This window comes from Homo sapiens, chromosome 8 (assembly GCF_000001405.40).
Source record: "Homo sapiens chromosome 8, GRCh38.p14 Primary Assembly".
Lineage (NCBI taxonomy): Eukaryota > Metazoa > Chordata > Mammalia > Primates > Hominidae > Homo > Homo sapiens.
In genome coordinates, this window is record NC_000008.11 from 81,272,186 (window position 1) to 81,291,085 (window position 18,900).

Genomic DNA, 18,900 nt, shown 5'->3' on the forward strand with positions numbered 1-18,900 from the left:
AACTGTATGTCTTGGGTGTGGGCAGCAAAGATCAAGTTCTACTTGTTCATGTGGATTAGTGACTTGGACTAGTTAGGTTCCCTCAGAGTACTGAGGCCCTAAGGCTTTGGGTGTGAAAGAACTAGAGCCTTGCCTTGGAAAACCAGAAGCAGCTGACACCTGCTTAGTAAAGCACGAAGCAAAAGGAAACCCAATACTTTTTTGTGTGTGCAGGATTTACCATCACTATTCACGTTGATTGGAAAATGACAAATAAATGTTTTGTTGAACTCTTATGTGATTTTTATTTTGTTTCTAGTTATGATTTGTATCACCACATGCTTTCAAATGGAATATTAGGCAGTTTTGATTTTCTGTTTCATATTGGGGTCAAACTTTTGTTTCTGTGACTATATCTCAGAGATGATTATGTCAACAAAATGCAAAAATGCAATAAAATGGAAAGGTATTTAATTTGAGAAAAAAGCTTTTTTTCCCATATAGTACATAACATAGAGTAACTTTCATATGCTAAATACATTCAAAGGGACACCAGTAAATGGCATTCTTTCCTGTTTATAGAAGCTGGTCCTATTCTGTCTTGACACTTATATGATGTCCTGATAACATAGCTGCAGAAGTGATAATATTTTACAACATGCAACAAATAAAACTTGTCATATAGAACCATAGTCTTCTCCCCAGGAACCACGTACAGTTTCTACTGAAAGACAAGGGCATCAGAGTATGTGTGGCAAGAAATCATTCAGCTTTGCTTCTGAGACTCTTCTCTCAATTCTCAGAAAAGGAACTCAGCAGGATTTTCTGACCCTTACTGAACTAGCCGGGTGGTGACAATTCCAGTTTTGACTTGTATTCTGGAAATTTTTATTATGCAAGTTGTATATCTCAGTATGCATCACCACCTCAGGCATAGCCTGGTGTCCGTTTACTACCCGGTTTATAGCGATGAACTAACTCTAAAGCACAGGCAGAGCTGAGTAGTGACATGAGTTGCTTCATGATTTCTAACCCAGTATTTCTCAGACAAGATCTTTCTAGCTGAGCAAAGTTTACCTCAGTTAACTTTTTGACATTTGGCACATTAATTTTAAACAAGATATATTTATTTGGTACACTCACCTGGTTTCTGTTAAAGACTCGCTTAATATTATAAAGATAAAACAATGGCCTTGACCAATGCCATGGAGTTTTCCCTCTATGTTTTCTCCTAGTAGTTTTATGTTTTCTCCTAGTAGTTTCATGTTTTACATTTAAGTATTTAATCCATTTTTAGATGATTTTTGTATATGGTAAGAGATAAGGGCCTAATTTCATTCTTCTACATGTTGATCTCCAGTTTTCTCAATACCATTTATTAAAGAGACTGTTCTTTCCTCATTGTGTGTTCTTGGCACCTTTGTAAAAAAAAAAAAAAAAAAATTAAGTTGACTGCAGATGTGGTTTTCCCTGGGCTATTCTATCCCATTGGTTGATGCGTTTCTTTTTGTGCCAGCACCATGCTTTTTCAATTACTATAGCTTTGTAGTACATTTTTGAAATCAGGTAGTGTGATGCCTCCAGCCTTTGCTATTTGTTTTTCTTGGCTAATTGGGGTCCTTTGTGGTTCTATATGAATTTTAGAATTGTTTTCTCCATTTCTGTGAAGAATGACCTTGGAATTTTGGTAGGAATTGCATTGAATCTACAGATCACTTTGGGTGGTATGGACATTTTCACAATATTAGTTCCTCCAGTGCAAGAATACAGGATATCTTTCCATTTATTTGTGCCATTTTAAATTTCTTTTATCAATGTTTTACAGTTTTCAGCATATAGATTTTTTATCTCCTTGGTTAAATTTACTCCTAAGTATTTTATTTTTATACCTACATCATAACATCACATTTTACCCCATAAATATATACAATTATTATTTGTCAATAAAAAAATTAAAAGAATAAAATAAAAACATGATTGTGTAAATGGAAAACAACAAATGTAGACTTTAAATTAACCAGTGATGATCTAAAAACCTTTCATTTATTTCTTAAATAAAATAATGTGGTTTCTTAAGAAAAAAGGCATAATGAATTATGGGGAACCTGAGGGCTTCTGTTTACCTGATATTTCAAAGACCTTCAATTTTTTAAAATTTTCAATATGTGATGAACTAAAACAGAATCAATTTTTAATAAATGTTTGTGAAATTTAAAAAACCCACAATGGATGTAGTTTTTAGCTTGTATAGACTTAGATACCAGACTTCTTGAAGATAAGAACTAGATTCTATCCACATAATTACTAGGTGTTCTAAAAATATGGGGTGATTTGAGACAAAGGAATGTGTCTGGTATGGACATCTCTGCTGGCCATTCTTTTGTGAGCAAGCAAAGCTGTCCCTGCATGACATATTTGTATGATACCTGAGTAGGGTAATACTGAACATGGCGCTACCACATTTTTTCCCTCCTGCAAGGCACCTTCAGGTCTTACAATAGATGATGCTGTAGTACCATGTTAATGCCTTCCTTGAAATTTAGACTTTGGAGCTACCTGATAGGTGAGAATTAAATATAACAACTCTTCATCCTATTTGAAATAGTTGGAAGGAAGGAGGGCATTGCTCAAAATCATACCAGGACAACAAGCATAGCTCTGACTTGCCCCAGTCAAACCAGGATATGGTCATCCTATCTTGCACTCTGAAAAAAATCGTGTGTTCAGATAACCTACCAGGGCAGAAAGGCCATTAGGAGCTCCATCTCTGCTCTGATGGTGAAACTAGAATTAATGCTATCTGATGTGCTGGGCAGGGAGAAGGAGGTAAGGATGCAGGGCACATGATTATTTTTGTGTTATTTTAGGATTTGACCATCAGCTTAGGTCTTGTTCCTTCTTCCTGATGGCTAAACTCTGTCTACCATTCTCTTGCCAGGATCCAAATCCAGATCAGAAGAACCCATCAGAATCATGACAGTACCATCCCCTGGAATTCAAGCCTGACCTCCACAGCTCTAGCTGCCGTGTCCCACCCACAGAGCAGATCCTCTAGGTATTTTGTTGTCTTCAGATCCAGGTACATACACTTTAGGCCCAGCGTGTGGCAGTTATGAAATAAAGCAAATGTTTCAAAGACAAGTCAGACTTATTCCTCATTCAGATGGGTAAAACTATATTGAGTGTGAAGAAGAAAGGGCAGGGTAGGAAGAAAACCAGAGGAGAATTAAGAAGTGATTTCAATTTTTGAAGTCAATTTTATTGATTTCTTGACTGACTCAATAAAGGAGTGAAGTTGAATTGGTTGATATCTAAATAAAAATATCCATTCTAGGACAACAGATGTGTGTAGCTCAGGTGAGCTTTTAATCCAAAGTAAGAAGTAGGGATTTCAGACCCACATTCAGAATCCTGAGGCCATGGTAGTTTTGAGATCTCCTCTTTGTAGCCCTGAGTGTTGACAAGCCCAGCTTGGTGTTCAATATTTGGCAACTCAGTAGGATGTCTGAGACCCTGCAGAATTAACTATGTATTTCAAGGTTGTAAGATAGGAGACAAGATTTGAGATTTGTGGCACAAATATTTTTTATCCCACCTTCCAAAATAGGCTGGAAGTAAGATCACAGTTGCTCTTCTTAATGGTAACAACTACTTAGCCTCCCAGTTCCCGCATGAAATTACAATATTTAACCAATGTAGAAAACAGAATATACTTTACTGGAAACTTCCCCTACATACTGTTGAATCTGTATCTTTAAGTTTGGTCAATGCAGAAGTGAGCAGGTGAACAAAAAGTGTCCTGTGGTGTCTATGGGTGGGTGAACAAAAGGTACCCATCCTGCTGCTTGGGTCCTTCAGAGAAGTGCACAAAATCAGCTGCATGCTGGTTTTACAGCTCTGTGCATGACTCTGAGGAGTTATAGGGTAGCTCTTCCCACTGCCAAAGTAGGAGGACCAGAGATAGGATCAAGAAAGCATCTTCAGTCGGATTTAGGTAGGTTATTAAGTGCTGATGATTCTTCTTCAAAGCTAATCCAGAAAAATGGAAGCAGTGGGCCTGACTCACTGAGATAAATAGCTTAGAGGCAAGCAAATCCACGGTTTTGTAGATTTGACTTGAAAAAAATCATTAATTCTTATAGATAAATATCAAAATAGAGAAATGATCAAATGGTGTGAGAATCTAGGAATACTGCATGGGAGGTAGGAATGAAAAATAGAAAAGGGTAATCTACAAGAAAAGAATTTGGCCTCTTCCAGTGGGAACATATCATTTGGAGGTTTTTTATGTTTGAAATTTTTTAAGGACAGAGATGCTCATTATTAATGTGTCTGTGTGTTTGGGCTTGGCCAGCCTAAGATTTTGTATATAAGGAGGCTTAGGAGTAATAATGTGATTAGAAGCGGGCTTGAAGAGGTTGGGGTTGCTAAGGAATTTGTTTTGAAGTTGCATTGCCTGGTAAACATAGTGCTTTTACTAAGATTTTGTGTTTATTGGGGTGGCTTTGCTAGCATCCTCCCGCTCCATTTCAAGCTGTGCCCTTTGGAGTTGTGCTTTTAAACCTTTGAACACTGCTCATATGAGGTATAAAAGGGTTATCCCAAACTATGTGTATCTGTTGCCATGAGCTATTGACAAATGTAATATACAATAATACACATGTCTGGAAAGTAGGAAGATCTATATAAGTAAGGGAAATGTATGAATTTTATACTGAAAGCTTTTATTATAAAATGAGCCATTATGTCCTCTGCCTTATTTTGAAGCCATTCACTTTTTATTACTGTAACTTTTGCAATGCCTCATTTTCCCTCCAGCTATCCTCTAGTCCAGTTAACTCAGCAAGCACAAGTTTATGATGGATCATTTAAGGAGCTGGAAAATTTTAATGGTTAGCCGTGGCAGTTATGATGTGTAAGACTCTAACTGCTTTAAGTAAAAGGACAAAGTTCAAAATATAACTCCATCTTTATAAGTGCTTTAATTAAAACCAATCTTATTATGAAAAACAAACCAAAAAAACCTTGCATTGATGGATGGTAGCTATTTGCAATTTCTTGTTTTGGCTGGATGCATTGAAGGATTAAAAATTTAATATTTAAGGTGTGCCTTAAACTGCAAGGTTCCCTGATTTTATTCTCATCTAGGAATTTTTGCTGCTTTAGGTAGCTGACAACATGCAGATCCATACTCTATCTCTTAAGATTTTCTTTTGGAACTGATTCCAGGTGAAATTTTCTTAGGGAAGATGTGGCTAGAAGCTGGGTATGCAAAGCATGTCTATAGCAAGGAAAGCCAGATGAGTGAGGGTCAAAAATCTAGTTATAAAATTTAAGGGAGACACTAGGTTTAAATAAACATATTCTCCAACCTTAGTGATTAATTTTTTTCCTTTTTTGATCATCTGGCCATGTACTTAGAGAAGACTCAGTTCCCTGAAAATGGATTACTTTGAATATTCTCTGCAATAATTTAATGTAGTACTCTCCATTTCTCTACCAACTGCCTGTTGCTAAGCCACCAACACTTAACTGTCCTTAGGAAGAACTAATATACAATAATCAACTTTGTGGAAGGCACATCTATGTACATAAACTTTAACTGGGAAGTTGTCTTTAAATAAAAATGACACAATATGCTCCAAAGCTGTGTGTGATTACAGAATGAGAAGCTGAAAAACTACTCACGTTTATCAAGTAAAGCCTCAGAGAAATATTACGGTTTCACCACTAGGTGGAAATAGAGTAATTTTGAGTACGCTTTTTCAAGGCCATGAACTTCTACTGCAGGAGTACTTCATAAACTGAAGGGGACCTAAAAAATCATTTAGTATTAATTCTCATCTCCTTAAATTCATAGATGATAAAACTAAGCTTCAGAGATATTAAGTAAAATTGCATCTGTCTTGAAAAAGGCAGTTTTCTAAGCTACTGGAAGAAGAGTTGCTAGTAATTCTTGATTCTTCAGTCATTTTCATCCATAAGAATAATGTGTTATTATCTTCCAGTGTGAAGGAAAACATGATATAACACCTGTATTACCTATGTGCTGTTACTAAAAATAATGAACAGCACAGTTACTAATGTTCGTAAGGACAGGTTAGGATAAAACTATTGTTTCTTGTTTCCTATGTTGTAATTAATCACAATCAAGTGATGATTCTCCTCCTTCTTTCCAAGAAGAAATACTCAACCATCTCCATAAAGTTATATGAGACTTCAGTGAAATTTGATTTCACAACATTTTTGGTTTTACACCTCATAATGGGTGCAAGGTAAGTAGCCTAGAATAGGCCTTTACTTAGCGGGTGAAGGCAGTACTTAACTGCTTTTTCACAGCTTAAAATCCATTACCATTACTCTGGAGAAGGAAAGAATCTGAGTAGTAGAGCTTAAGGGGCATTAGAAATAATCTACTCCAATCATACATCTGTATATGCATCAGATGTGGTGTCTGAAAACAAGACATTCAATGTGTTTCCCTGAGGAACAGAGCAATCACCATGCCCTTTTTTGTTCCACAAGATACAATAACGGTTATTATTCTGGCCATATAGCTTTGTTTTGTCTGTATGTTTTAACACAAAAGAATTATTTCCACTCATCACATCAGAGATTGTGTTTAAACTTAAGTTTTAAGTAAGGCCTTGGGATTAAAGGCTATTTCTTAAGTACCTAAGTATCTAGTACTCCAGTGCCATTATCTTTTTGATATTTCTGTAACATGTTAGATTATGATCATTTAAAAATTAGTATCAGAGTGCTGCGTCCTATTATTACTACATATAGTCTATACAGAAATGGATAAGACATGTTGAAATAGCACATGAAGAGCTCAAGTTCAAACACACAGGCAGCCCTAAGGAGCTGCCTGAAGTGCCTGGTAGCCAGGGCTTCTCATCACTGAGTAAATGATGCACTCAGCTTCCCTCAGAACACGAATATTTTCTGAGCAGTAGGGCCTCGGGTGTGGGACATGCAGACCCTTATTGGGAAAACAATTGAGTGTTAAATGGTACCACAAGGAAGACTGGTGTGACCCTAAACTGAGGGCAGGGACTTGAAATGAAAGGGATGCAGTTCAGGGGAGTACATGTCCTGCAGCATGTTGGGAGATAGCAAACCAACCTCAGATTTCAATTTTGTCAAGGATGATACAAGAACTAGTAGTGTCTCGGTGACTGTGGTCTACTCAGAGCTCCATCACAGCTACCCTGAGCCCAAGGCAGTCAGGTGTGGTCTGATTTCATAAGGTCTTCAGTGAGACGGACCTGGATGGGGATTCTGGTTCTACCACTGTGAGAACTATCTTTGCCCTATTTTCTCTTTTGAAAAATTGGGATAACACCCCTAGCAAAAATATAGTGGAGACCAATGTCTATAAAGTGCCCAGGAAGCACATCTAGCACTTAGTAGCTACTCAATAAATGCACATTACCGCTATCGAAACGGCCAGCCTGTGTGGCAACTTCCTCACCTCAGTCCATCTGACTTCCAACAGGCACCCGGGAGCACCAAGTAATAAATTGTGAAGAGTACACTTTGAAACGTATCATGTTCTACGCACATGTGTAGGGTATTATTATAGTTCAAGAGAAAGAGGGAACCCGCTGGTGTCTGAGAAGAAACCCGCTGGTGTCTGAGAAGAAACGGTGAAGGGTGCACTACGAAGGGAATATAAACTAATCAAACATTCTTGAATGGCAATGACAGTCACTAAAGTTGACACTTCCTGCAGTCTTTTAGTTTAGAAACCACACTTCCCGAGACGTCCCCCATCCCAACAGGGATAAAATCCTCTAGCTCAACTCAGGTATATCCCCACTATTGGGCCAGGGAGACCTGCGGATGGCGAGAGCAGGTTCTCTTAGGAGGGTGTGGATTGTGAGCTTGTGCGCTGGCGAGGAGCAGAAGGTCAGGGAGGCACCGTAGTTAATGAATCAATAAACCAAACAGCCGATCAATCACTTCCTGCAGTCCGAGTCCGGCGAGGGCTAATCGATTGGTCCGGGTATTTTGAAAGGAAAAACGGCGGTGGATATGTTGTCAAACGGAGGGGTGCAGGAGAGGCGGGGCCAGGCCTCCAGGTGACCCCTCTGGCTTCCTGGGCCTGCAGAGGCGCCGAAACGTGCAGGCGCCGGCGTCCATGAGGCGTGGGGCGCGCCGGGCGAGTCCCTGCTTGCAGGAGGCGCCCGAGAGGCCGTCGCGTACCCTGGCAAGAGGAGCTGGTTAGCACCTCCCGACCCCGAGAAGGCCCAGGGGGCGCCCGGCGGGCGGGGCGGGGACCGGGCGAGGCCCGCCTCCCATTGGCCGCATAGCGCCGCCCAGCGCGGGCCGCCGTTATAAAGCAGCCGCCGGCGCCGGGTGCCTCACAGCACGCTGCCACGCCGACGCAGACCCCTCTCTGCACGCCAGCCCGCCCGCACCCACCATGGCCACAGTTCAGCAGCTGGAAGGAAGATGGCGCCTGGTGGACAGCAAAGGCTTTGATGAATACATGAAGGAGCTAGGTGAGGCACCCGGCCTGGCAGCGCCTGCAACGTGGCGTGTTGTGCGGTCGTCTGTCCCTAGGTCCCCGTCAGCGTGCCAGATTCTGGGGCAGGAGATGCTCGGCGGCCTACCCCCATCCCCTCCCATCTTCCCCACCACGCGGCCGTTGGGTGCAGCGCGCGCAGCACCACGCGGGCAGGCGGCGAGGAGCAGGGAGCGTGCGCGCCTCTTGCCCGCCCGCGGGCCGCAAGATTCCGGAGGTGGTCCACCCCGTGGTCCACCTACCTCTGCTTCTTTCCCTTCGCCCAAACGGCAGCCCTTCCGCATTGCTTCCTGTCCTTTAGCGCGCGCACCCGTCACCTCACGCTGCACTTCTTTCGACCCCCTCCAGGCGACCCTGTATTTCCCTTTTTTCCCCCTTTACTCATCCTTCCCCTTCCTGCCACCATTCTGTCTCTCCCATTTACCCCATCGTGGCAGCACCCACTCCCCTTTCCCTCCCTGTCGCATCTTTTGTTCCCTGTGGCGCGCAGGTCACCCTCCGTTTTCTTCATGGGGACGCGGTGCTGGCGCGCAGTTTCCCGCAGAAATCCTGTGGAGGGGTCTGAGTGGCGCTACAGCTTCAGCTTGCATTCCTCTGTCAGCCCCGTCTCCCCCAGGTCCTCTGCTCGCCCTTACCAGTTGAGCCGAACCCTTTGGATTGGTACCCCATGGAACACCAGGGCCCCCGAGAAGCGTGGCGCTGGCGGTGCCGACCTGCTGCTGGCACTGCCGGGCCGGGGCGCCGCAGTGGGCGGGTGGCCTGTGGGAGGAGCGCAATGAGGCCTGGGGGTGGCCGTGTGTTGCCATCCTGGCCTCTGCCACTTGAGGGTGAGGAGGAAGGAGGCAGTGGGCTTTGCTGGAAAACCGTAACAGAAACTGCCTGGCCCTCCTGCGGCTAACTGCATGCAAGATGGGTGTGGCCCTGCAGAAGGCAGATGACTTCTTGAAGCGTTCCGAGGGAGAATGAATCTCAGTAGTAAGATTCATTTCTCACTCAAAACAGTGCTTCATTATAAATTACTGTCCTTTTCTATGCCAGTGACAGATTGCATGCTGATTGAGACACTGGATAAATTGCAAACAAAAATGGACCTTTGTCACAGGCCACTAGGAAGTGAGATGGAGTTAGCATAGCATGGATCCTCTCTGGAAGGGAGCTTCCAGCCCTAAGGGATGGCTGGGATTTATGAGGGTGCTTCAGAAGCCGGTATCCACAAATGTTAACCCGGTTGCTCGCTGGTGAAATAACTACCGTGACCCTCTATTGATACCTGGTCGCCGTGGCACTTCGGAATCACTCCTTCAGTACCCTTTATCCAAGACCATGTGGTGTTAAGGCTGGTTTATGGTGAATCATGAGTGTATTTTTGATACTATCAGTAAAGAAGGCAGTATTTTTCTTTTTCCTTGTAAACCTACATCAAGATGACTCTGGAAAAAGCGATTTACTGCACCTGTCCAATAAATAACAGTGTGTGTGTGTGTGTGTGTGTGTGTGTGTGTACAAGTTTAAGGCCCAAAGAACACTTTTCTCTGCCTGTAGAAAGCAAATTGTGTGTAGGTTTGGAGGGCTTGTTTCCAGGATTCTGGAGTCTTGAAGGTTGTCAAGACTCAGTTCATTAGGGAGCAGTCACAATGTGAAAAGAGCAGAGCCCATTTATTTGTCCAAAGTGAGAGTACATAATGACTCAATTAACAGCATAAGGCACCAGCCCTGAGCTGGCAAAAGAGAAGGCTCCAAGGGGAACTTTAAAGCCTGGCTGGGTGTTCTTCATCAAGACAATCATGCTGCGTAGGTTGTAGTCTCCTCATTTATGAAACAGTGATTTGGCCTGGATCTAAGATTCCTTATACATGTTAACTAACTCTAAGGGGAAAGAGATAGATCATAAATTACATGTTAACGTTGAGGGGAAATTGATAGATCATAAATTAAAATATAATTTAATATGTTATATATTTCTATTGATTTATATACCTATGAAATAGTTTTTATATTGAAAGGTAGGATTTTTTTTCCCATTTGTTAGCATCATGATTGTGCTGCTGAGTTTTAAAAGATTGTGCTATTTGAATATCTCAGGATCAATTTCTATTTTGTGTAGTCTATTAATCAAATATTTATCGAGAACATTTATATGCCAGACTGTGCTGGAGTCATAGAATGTAATGGTTGGCAGAATCTAGTAAAAAGAAAAAGATTGAGCAAACTCCTGAATTTGCAATTTTGAATGCTTTATCTCCACCTTCTATCAACTGCTTTGAGTAAATAAAATTTGGAAGTCCACATTTCTTCCCTAACTTTCTGAAAGCCAGCATAGCATGGTGGCCAGAGCTCAGATTTGGAGCCAGGGTGCCAGTGCTCTTGGTTCCCAGCTCCATCACTTTCTAGTTGAATGATCTTGGGCAAGTTACTTCCGTGCCTCGCTTTCTCATCAGTAAAATGGAGACAGTAACATCTGCCTTTTACAGGGCTGTTGTAAGGCTTACCTGAATTTCATATATGTAAAGTGCTGGCTCATACCGTGGGATATATGTTTACAATAGTTATCAATAAGCAAATAAGTGAAAATATGCCGCACAAAGTGATTACAATGGAATTATTGCTTTTATCATGTAAATGATAACTTTGGTCTTCCTGTTATTTAACATGACTTAACATTCTACAGGAGTGGGAATAGCTTTGCGAAAAATGGGCGCAATGGCCAAGCCAGATTGTATCATCACTTGTGATGGTAAAAACCTCACCATAAAAACTGAGAGCACTTTGAAAACAACACAGTTTTCTTGTACCCTGGGAGAGAAGTTTGAAGAAACCACAGCTGATGGCAGAAAAACTCAGGTCAGTCGTGACATGTTATGAAATCACAGAAGCTTCTAGAATGATAGGCTGTATCAATAACATTTTACTGTTTATAGGCAAGAACTTAATGAAAAAGTTATTTTATGAATTGAATTTTGTCAAATTAGCAAAAGTATCAACTTCATCATAGAATTGGCATCTTTTATTAGCTACTAGGTTGAAAACCACAAACTATTGTGAATAAAATCAATATGGGTTAATGAAGTAGACTCAGAAAGGAGAAGGTGAAACAAATGTTGATTAAGGAGGTTATGAGTCATGGAAACTCTTGTAATGTACTTGGAAGATTAAAACGTTTACTTTGTTTTTGCAGACTGTCTGCAACTTTACAGATGGTGCATTGGTTCAGCATCAGGAGTGGGATGGGAAGGAAAGCACAATAACAAGAAAATTGAAAGATGGGAAATTAGTGGTGGTAAGTGTCAAACTGCTGTGTCTCAGTCAGCTTCTTGTGTGCATTCATAGTTCACATAACTGTTCTATATCATTGATCATTAACAGAACTCAGTTTGGAAGAAAAAAAAGCAAAATAACAAGTTAAATACTAGAACACTAATTATTAAGAAAGTCCTAGTGGAGATAGAGAAGTGACATGACATAGGAGAGGATTTGGCTGGAGTTGGGGGGAGTTCTTGCTTTGCTGCCACGTCACAGTGAAATCTTGGCAAGCCACCAAACTGCACACATTTTTCTATATCTTTAAAATAAGGAATATTTGCCATAACCAAAAGAATAAAGATATATTCAACACATTAGTTTTCTGTAAAACATGCATATTATAAGCAAAACAACAGCTTCTGGCTTCTCTCAAACCCGTGAATTCTGAAAGAAATTTTCTCCATCTATGAAGTAGATTACGTGATTTCGTGGGACTTTGATTCTAATGTTTTAATACCACCACTGCTCTGGAATCTAAGGCTAACCTAACTCTTTTAATATCTTTCCTTCTTCTAGGAGTGTGTCATGAACAATGTCACCTGTACTCGGATCTATGAAAAAGTAGAATAAAAATTCCATCATCACTTTGGACAGGAGTTAATTAAGAGAATGACCAAGCTCAGTTCAATGAGCAAATCTCCATACTGTTTCTTTCTTTTTTTTTTCATTACTGTGTTCAATTATCTTTATCATAAACATTTTACATGCAGCTATTTCAAAGTGTGTTGGATTAATTAGGATCATCCCTTTGGTTAATAAATAAATGTGTTTGTGCTAATATATCTTGTATGCATTCTTTAAACCTTACAGGAAATTAGTGATGAGTTTTAATAATTATTAATTGAGTAAAGGTTGGGGCAGTCTTGAGGGTACTATATTGAGATGACACTCTAGCAATTTATATAGATAGCTACTCTTACAGGAAATACTGTACCAATTATTTAAGCTTGCCCTATACTATTTGAACTTTGTATGAATTCAGGAATCTTGAATTTCTGGCAGAGACCATTCTCAATAAAAGGTGACTACAACATAAACTTTATTATTCAAATTAGAGCAAAGGTTTAATTAACCAGCATTGACTAAAATACTTTTTGTGTGTATTTATATACAAATATAAGTAATACTATGTATGGAATAACCAGAATTCTAGTGAATCTCTGTTTCTCGGTCCCCAACACAAATATCCACAGTTCACATTTGGAGAAGCAGGCTGTTGGCCCTGAGCTAAAGCTTCGCATAAATGATCTTTAGGGCAGACGTTAAAGGGCTGGTACAACTACAACCATTCTGCAAGTAACTAGTTCAAGGACAGGAGGTAGTAGAGCTGGACCGACAACCTATATCTCATCAAGTCTACTCAATGTGTTCAGTCATTCTGCAATGCTGTCTCTTTGCAGCTTGTGCAGATCTTGTCTAAAGTCCCTACGTATACTAAGTGAGACTTCTGAAACCACCCTCCACGTGCAGAAATGTTAACTGGTAAGCCTATTCTTTTAAGAATTAGCCACAGCTAGCAGTCAGTGGAGGTTTTCAACTCGCTGATACTCTAGTCCTGTCCTGTCCAATACATAGCTATGAGTCACACATGGCTATTGAACCTTTGAAGTGTGACTAGTCTGAATTGAGACGTACATAGGGGATTTCAAAGGCTTAGTACAAAAAGTAAAATGCCTTATTAATGATTTTTTTGGTATTGATTGCATATTAAAGTAAATATATATTTGTAAAGTTAATTTTACCCATTTACTTTTTTAATGTTTCTAGGGAAAATGTAAAAATTGCATGTACTTTCATTTCAGTCATGCTTATTTCAGTCTCTATGCTGGGGTTCTTTCATCCACATTTTCCGCTTCTCATAATTATGTATATTTATTGACATTCTCTCTGAACCAAACATGATTATGAGAAGTGGAAAATGTGGATGAATGAAGAACCCTAGCATAGAGACTGAAATAAGCATGATTGAAATTCACATAGAAAGGAAGTCTAAATCAACACTGTCCAATAAAAAATACGACACAAAAATGAAAGTTAGCACGGGACCCATAATATAGTAAAGGCTTAATGTCCCACCAGCACTTCCCAATATAACTTTATGTGACATGGAAATGCTCTTTAATATCTGCACTGGCCACTAAGGTAGCCACTAGCCGTAAGTGAGTATTGAGCATTTGAAATGTGGTGAGTGCAACTGAGGAACTGAATTTTTAATTTAGTTTTTATTAACTAAAATGTAAATTTAAGTACCCACATGTAGTTAGTGACTGTTAATTTGGACAGCATGGGATGTTTCCAAAATTGAAATTCTTATGTTTTAAACTTTCAAACCGATTCCTCTTGCAGTATTCTCCCTCTCAATTCATGGGAATGTCATGTTTCCAGTGTTCAGGCTAAATGTCTAATCTTTGATTATTTCTTTACCATCTTATATCTAATCAATTAGCAAATTATTTGTTTTACCATCAGAATATACCTAGAATTCAATTGCTTGTCACTTCTTTCACAGATACCACCCTCATTCAGTCATCACCATCATCTCTCCCCTTCTCTGCCATTTTGCAACTTTATTCTCCCAAAGCTATCATTTTAAAACACAGGTTACAACATGTCACTCCTCTGTTGAGAACCCTCCACTGGCCTCTTACTTCCCTAGGAGTAGAAGCTAAGATCTTCATAGAGTTTCTATGTGATTTGCCTGTGTCTTCCACCTTCCCAGTGCCCCCTCCTGATTTCATTTCCTGCCACTGTCCTCTCAAACATTCCCTCAGACCTTGGCCAATGTTGATGCAAATGTGCTTTTGCCTCAGGGCCTTTGCACCTGTTTCCTCTGCCTGAAACACTCTTCCCCAAGGAGGCTGCAGCCCACACTTTCTCCACTCCTTAGAGTCTCTTCCCTAAAGGTCACCCTAACAGTGAGTCATTCCCAGACCACATGATGCATCAGAGCTGCCACTCCTCCCCCACATTCTCAATTCCCCTAAGCTGCTTTATTTTTTCTCATAGTCCTCACCTTTATCATCAATTCTAACTATACATTCACTTGTTTTATTTCTTAATTTTTTTGGTTATTATCTGTCTCCCCAATAGAAAGTAAGTCTTATGAAGAAGGGACTTTGTTTCTAACAGTGCACACACTCTCTAGTATGCAATTAGGGGAGAACCCGACATACAAAAGATGCTCCATACATATTTGTTAAATGAACGAATTTGTTAATAAATTAATGGATTCCTGACATCTATTTAACACATTTTTATATTATTTAAGACCCATCATGATATTGCTTCAATTGACTTTATTTATTAAAACCATATTTCTTACCTTTATGCAAACCATTCAACTTTAATCAGGTCTTTTACCCCAGAATAGTGCGCTTGATGACTGTGGGAAAAGTATGTTTGAAATAGGAAGTAAGGAATTCAGCCGTGCTTCCAAACTGGCATGTCATGGCACCCTGGCCTACCAAAAAATAGGCTACCCAGTTTTGATCGATGTATACAATTTATTTTACTGCAGCCAAGCACTCTGCTAACAGGCAATGCCTGTCAAGCAGAACTGGACCTGAGGTGTTTGTGGAACATGGTGAAGATTAATATGATTTGCTAGAAGAAAGACAGTTTAACACAAGTCAACCTCTCACTAAAGAAAAATATACAGGAGAAAGATGACAACTTTTGTATTATGTCCTTGAGCACCATGAGGGCATCAACTGTTCTCGACAAGTGAAGTCCAAGTGCCTGCGGATGAATGGTTGTAGTGAATTGCCACTGTAAGATCTTTGCAGGCAAAATGAGGCATTGTTTTATGCTAGTAGTGATTATGATGCATCTATTGCTAACATAGTCAATGATTTCTTGAGTCTCAATCTCTTTAACTGTTTTCTCAAAATTCTGGTATTTGAAATTGTGCTATGACCATGAAAAGGTTGAGAACCATCTTTTTGGCACCTAGATTTTGAGGCTGCCAAGTCAACTTGGACTATTACTCAATTCTTGCTGCTTATAAACCAATGATTCTTAATGTCTGTTCCATTTTGAATTCACTTTTAAGTTCATGAGAATAATTATAGTGTTTCCCTGGGTTTCATGAATTCTCTGTTCTCCTTTTCTAACACTGCCCTCTTAGAATTCACTGCCATTTGATGGGTCATGGGTGAAGTGAGTTGGTAGAAAGGGCTGATGAAGCCGGTGAACTGGTTTGGAAAGCTGACACATATTCTGAAATGCTGTGAAAGGCAAAGTGGTATGACTTGCAGCTAGTCACACAGCAACTGGAAAATAATTGTAGTCTTATGATATCTGGTGTGCCAGGCTCTGTCACCAGATCATATGTAAACATTTGCTTTTGATCCAGTCTCTCTCCTCCTCCCATTGCCTCCTCCCCTTATACCTCCTTCTCCCATACTGTACGCTTGGAAAATGTCTGAAAAGAGAATAATTCTTAAGGAGCGTTTTTTAAAGGTGCTGGCAACACATGGCATGGTGAACAAGATAGAGTAGGGTGAAGGTTCTTTCTGATGGAACTGACATTCTAGTGTGAGATGATGTGTCTTAGTCTGTCCTGTGCTGCTGTGACAGAATACTTGAGACTGGGTAATTTATAAAGAACAGAAATTTATCTGTTATATTTCTCGAGGCTGGGAAGTCGAAAATTGAGGGTCCTGAATCTGGTGAGGGCCTTCTTGATACGTCATCCCAAGACGGAAGGTGGCAGGATGAGAGAGAGTAAGAGAGCAAGAGGGGGCTGAAGTCACTTTCACAACAAGCCCACTCCTGCGATAACCACCCCACTCCAGAGATAACGACATTAATCCATTCATGAAGGCAGAGCCATTGTGACCTAATCAACACTTATTAGGTCCCACCTCCCATCGGTGTTGCATTAGGGATTACATTTCCAGCACATGAACTTTGGCGGACACAGTCAAACCATAGCATGATGGAACATACATGATTCAAACAAATGGCAGGGTGATAAGTGCAGCTAGAAAAATATAAAACCAAGTAGAGTGATAAGGAGCGAATGGGGTGGAATCTGTTAGGTTGGTGCAAAAGTAATTGCAGCTTTTTGTCATTACTTTGAAGTGCAAAAACTGCAATTATGTTTGCACCAACTTAATACTTTATATGGGACGGTCAGGGAAGGCCTCTTAGAGAAGGTAGTGTTTGAACTGAGACCTGAATAATGAGAGAAGGTAGGCAAGTGAACATCTGGAGCAACAGTGTTCTAGGCAGAGGGACTAGCCGCTGCAGAAGCCCTGAGGTGGAGACCGACAGAACCACAGAATGACAGAAGATTATTGAAAGAGGAGCAATGTGGAGCAAGATGCGGTCTGAGATTTAGGTGAGAAGCAGAGTGTGTAAGACCTTGTAGCTCCTAGTGAGGGATTTAGGTTTATCTAAGGACCCAGAGAAACTACAGAAGGTGTCAAGGAGGAAGTGAGAGATGACTATTTTAACAAAGATGTTCTATTTTCACTTTTGCAATGAGATACTGATATTTGGAATAACTTACCAAAGACACTGAAAATATTGGACAAAAAAAAATTTTTTAATTGCCTTAAAGTGACAAAGAGCTGACAAAATCATGAGGAATTATGTGGCCTATTTCTGGGAATCCAGAGAAGCAACCCCAACTGACAGGTGAGTTTTACCCTGGAATATTAATTGCAGGTCTGGGAGACATGGCTGAGAGGCTGAGCTGTGCTTTCGGCAACATAGGAAACAATTGGGCCTTTGTCTGATGGTAGCTAGGCTGACTCCATCCTCTACTGTCTTGGAGAAAGTTCTCTGAATGTTGAAAATTGGGTTATAAAGATGTTCATCCAAGTGCTTTTACATTAGCAGATGATTGGCAAGCATATAACTTTCTAGAAATAGAAGACTGGTTAAATAATCATAATATAGCCATACAATAAAATATTAACTGGAATTAAAACAACAAAAAGACAATAGCTTGGAAAAAAGACTCGTAATTCACTGTAAAGTGGAAAAACCGGATATAAAATATTATGTACATATTATACCATTTGTGTAATATGGGCACATATGTGTAATTAAATACAGAAGAATGTTAACAGTGCCTATCTCTTGGGTTTGAGGTGATGTTTAATTTTTATTTGCTTATCTCTCTATAACAAAAATGCAAAAACATTTAAATGCCAATAGCTTTGTTTGTATTTTTAATAATAAATTTATATTAGAAGATGTTTCAGAAAAGCATAAAGAAGTAAATAAATATCCTTGGAAGTCTCACTTCTATAGAAAATTAATACTAATATTTTGTTATGATGCATTCAAATAATTCTTCATATATTTATATGCATAAACATCCAAAACATTTTATACATGGAATCATATAACACAGTATTCTCTTGCAATTATTTGTCTTTTAAACCTGATTTAAATATAGATTCACATCCTTTTCTTTAACTTCATAACATTTAATTTTACTTCAACTCTATTATTTCTTTTATCAATTTCCTCTTGATAAATGTTTAAGCTTTGCAAAAAGTTTTGGAGTTATTAACAGTGGTTTGATAAACATTCTTTTCCATTGATGGAATATAATTATTTAAAATATTTTAAAAATATTTACCCTTTGGTTAGATCCCCTAAAGCACTCAGCCCATGGTGTGACATAAACCAAGTAATGCCTGCATGCAAACAAAGCTGGCTTCACAAAGTTGCAGAATGTAGTAGGCACCTGGTTAAGGAAAATTCTACCCACAAATTATTTTGCCCCCAACGGGCACTTTAACAGGGAACACATTTTTTCCCCCTTTTTACATTAAATATCTGAATGTTGGGGAAGGGGAGATGTTTGTTCTAAAGTTAATCCTAATGGTAAAGTTAAAGGTCCAATAATGTGTTTATACTGTAATGGACAGTTTTGCTCTTTCTCATTGCTGAACTTTATGCAAGGGCCTGGTGCTTATTTGGGCACAACTCCAGAGGCCTTCATTCTTACTGTCACCGGAGTGCATGGCCCTGCCAGGTCGTGTATAACCTGTGCTATACCTGTATGTGTACCTGTGTGTGTAGGCCACTGAGGCCCTGGTATTTGGTTTAGTTTGTTTCTTGCTTTG

General features: G+C 39.8%; 1 protein-coding gene and 1 long non-coding RNA gene across 3 annotated transcripts, besides 6 other annotated features; one reads left to right on the forward strand and one right to left on the reverse strand.

Annotated features, from left to right (window-relative positions):
* Positions 1-3,213: 3,213 nt before the first annotated feature.
* Positions 3,214-9,239, reverse strand: LNMICC (lncRNA associated with lymph node metastasis in cervical cancer). 2 transcript variants are annotated; one of them, NR_186603.1, is made up of 2 exons: positions 9,148-9,239; positions 3,214-8,191 (listed from the first exon to the last, which is right to left on the reverse strand). It is a non-coding gene; the product is annotated as a lncRNA associated with lymph node metastasis in cervical cancer (long non-coding RNA). The 2 variants fall into 2 exon arrangements; NR_186604.1 differs by lacking the exon at positions 9,148-9,239 and adding an exon at positions 8,755-8,859.
* Positions 7,994-8,828: an enhancer, noted in NCBI's record as "H3K27ac hESC enhancer chr8:82192414-82193248 (GRCh37/hg19 assembly coordinates)". NCBI's record gives its function as "activates a minimal SCP1, AML or CMV promoter by ChIP-STARR-seq in primed H9 embryonic stem cells {active_cell/tissue: H9 hESC(primed)}" and the evidence as "EXISTENCE:reporter gene assay evidence [ECO:0000049][PMID:30033119]".
* Positions 8,020-8,099: a silencer, noted in NCBI's record as "silent region_19328". NCBI's record gives its function as "represses an Ori minimal core promoter by ATAC-STARR-seq in GM12878 lymphoblastoid cells {active_cell/tissue: GM12878}" and the evidence as "EXISTENCE:reporter gene assay evidence [ECO:0000049][PMID:35858748]".
* Positions 8,110-8,399: a silencer, noted in NCBI's record as "silent region_19329". NCBI's record gives its function as "represses an Ori minimal core promoter by ATAC-STARR-seq in GM12878 lymphoblastoid cells {active_cell/tissue: GM12878}" and the evidence as "EXISTENCE:reporter gene assay evidence [ECO:0000049][PMID:35858748]".
* FABP5 (fatty acid binding protein 5) lies at positions 8,351-12,590 on the forward strand. Its single transcript, NM_001444.3, has 4 exons — positions 8,351-8,489; positions 11,181-11,353; positions 11,688-11,789; positions 12,329-12,590. The coding sequence occupies exons 1-4, from the start codon at positions 8,411-8,413 to the stop codon at positions 12,380-12,382; spliced, it is 408 nt and encodes a 135-aa protein (NP_001435.1). The 5' UTR covers positions 8,351-8,410; the 3' UTR covers positions 12,383-12,590.
* Positions 8,829-9,663: an enhancer, noted in NCBI's record as "H3K27ac hESC enhancer chr8:82193249-82194083 (GRCh37/hg19 assembly coordinates)". NCBI's record gives its function as "activates a minimal SCP1, AML or CMV promoter by ChIP-STARR-seq in primed H9 embryonic stem cells {active_cell/tissue: H9 hESC(primed)}" and the evidence as "EXISTENCE:reporter gene assay evidence [ECO:0000049][PMID:30033119]".
* Positions 15,999-16,048: an enhancer, noted in NCBI's record as "active region_27581". NCBI's record gives its function as "activates an Ori minimal core promoter by ATAC-STARR-seq in GM12878 lymphoblastoid cells {active_cell/tissue: GM12878}" and the evidence as "EXISTENCE:reporter gene assay evidence [ECO:0000049][PMID:35858748]".
* Positions 18,816-18,875: an enhancer, noted in NCBI's record as "active region_27582". NCBI's record gives its function as "activates an Ori minimal core promoter by ATAC-STARR-seq in GM12878 lymphoblastoid cells {active_cell/tissue: GM12878}" and the evidence as "EXISTENCE:reporter gene assay evidence [ECO:0000049][PMID:35858748]".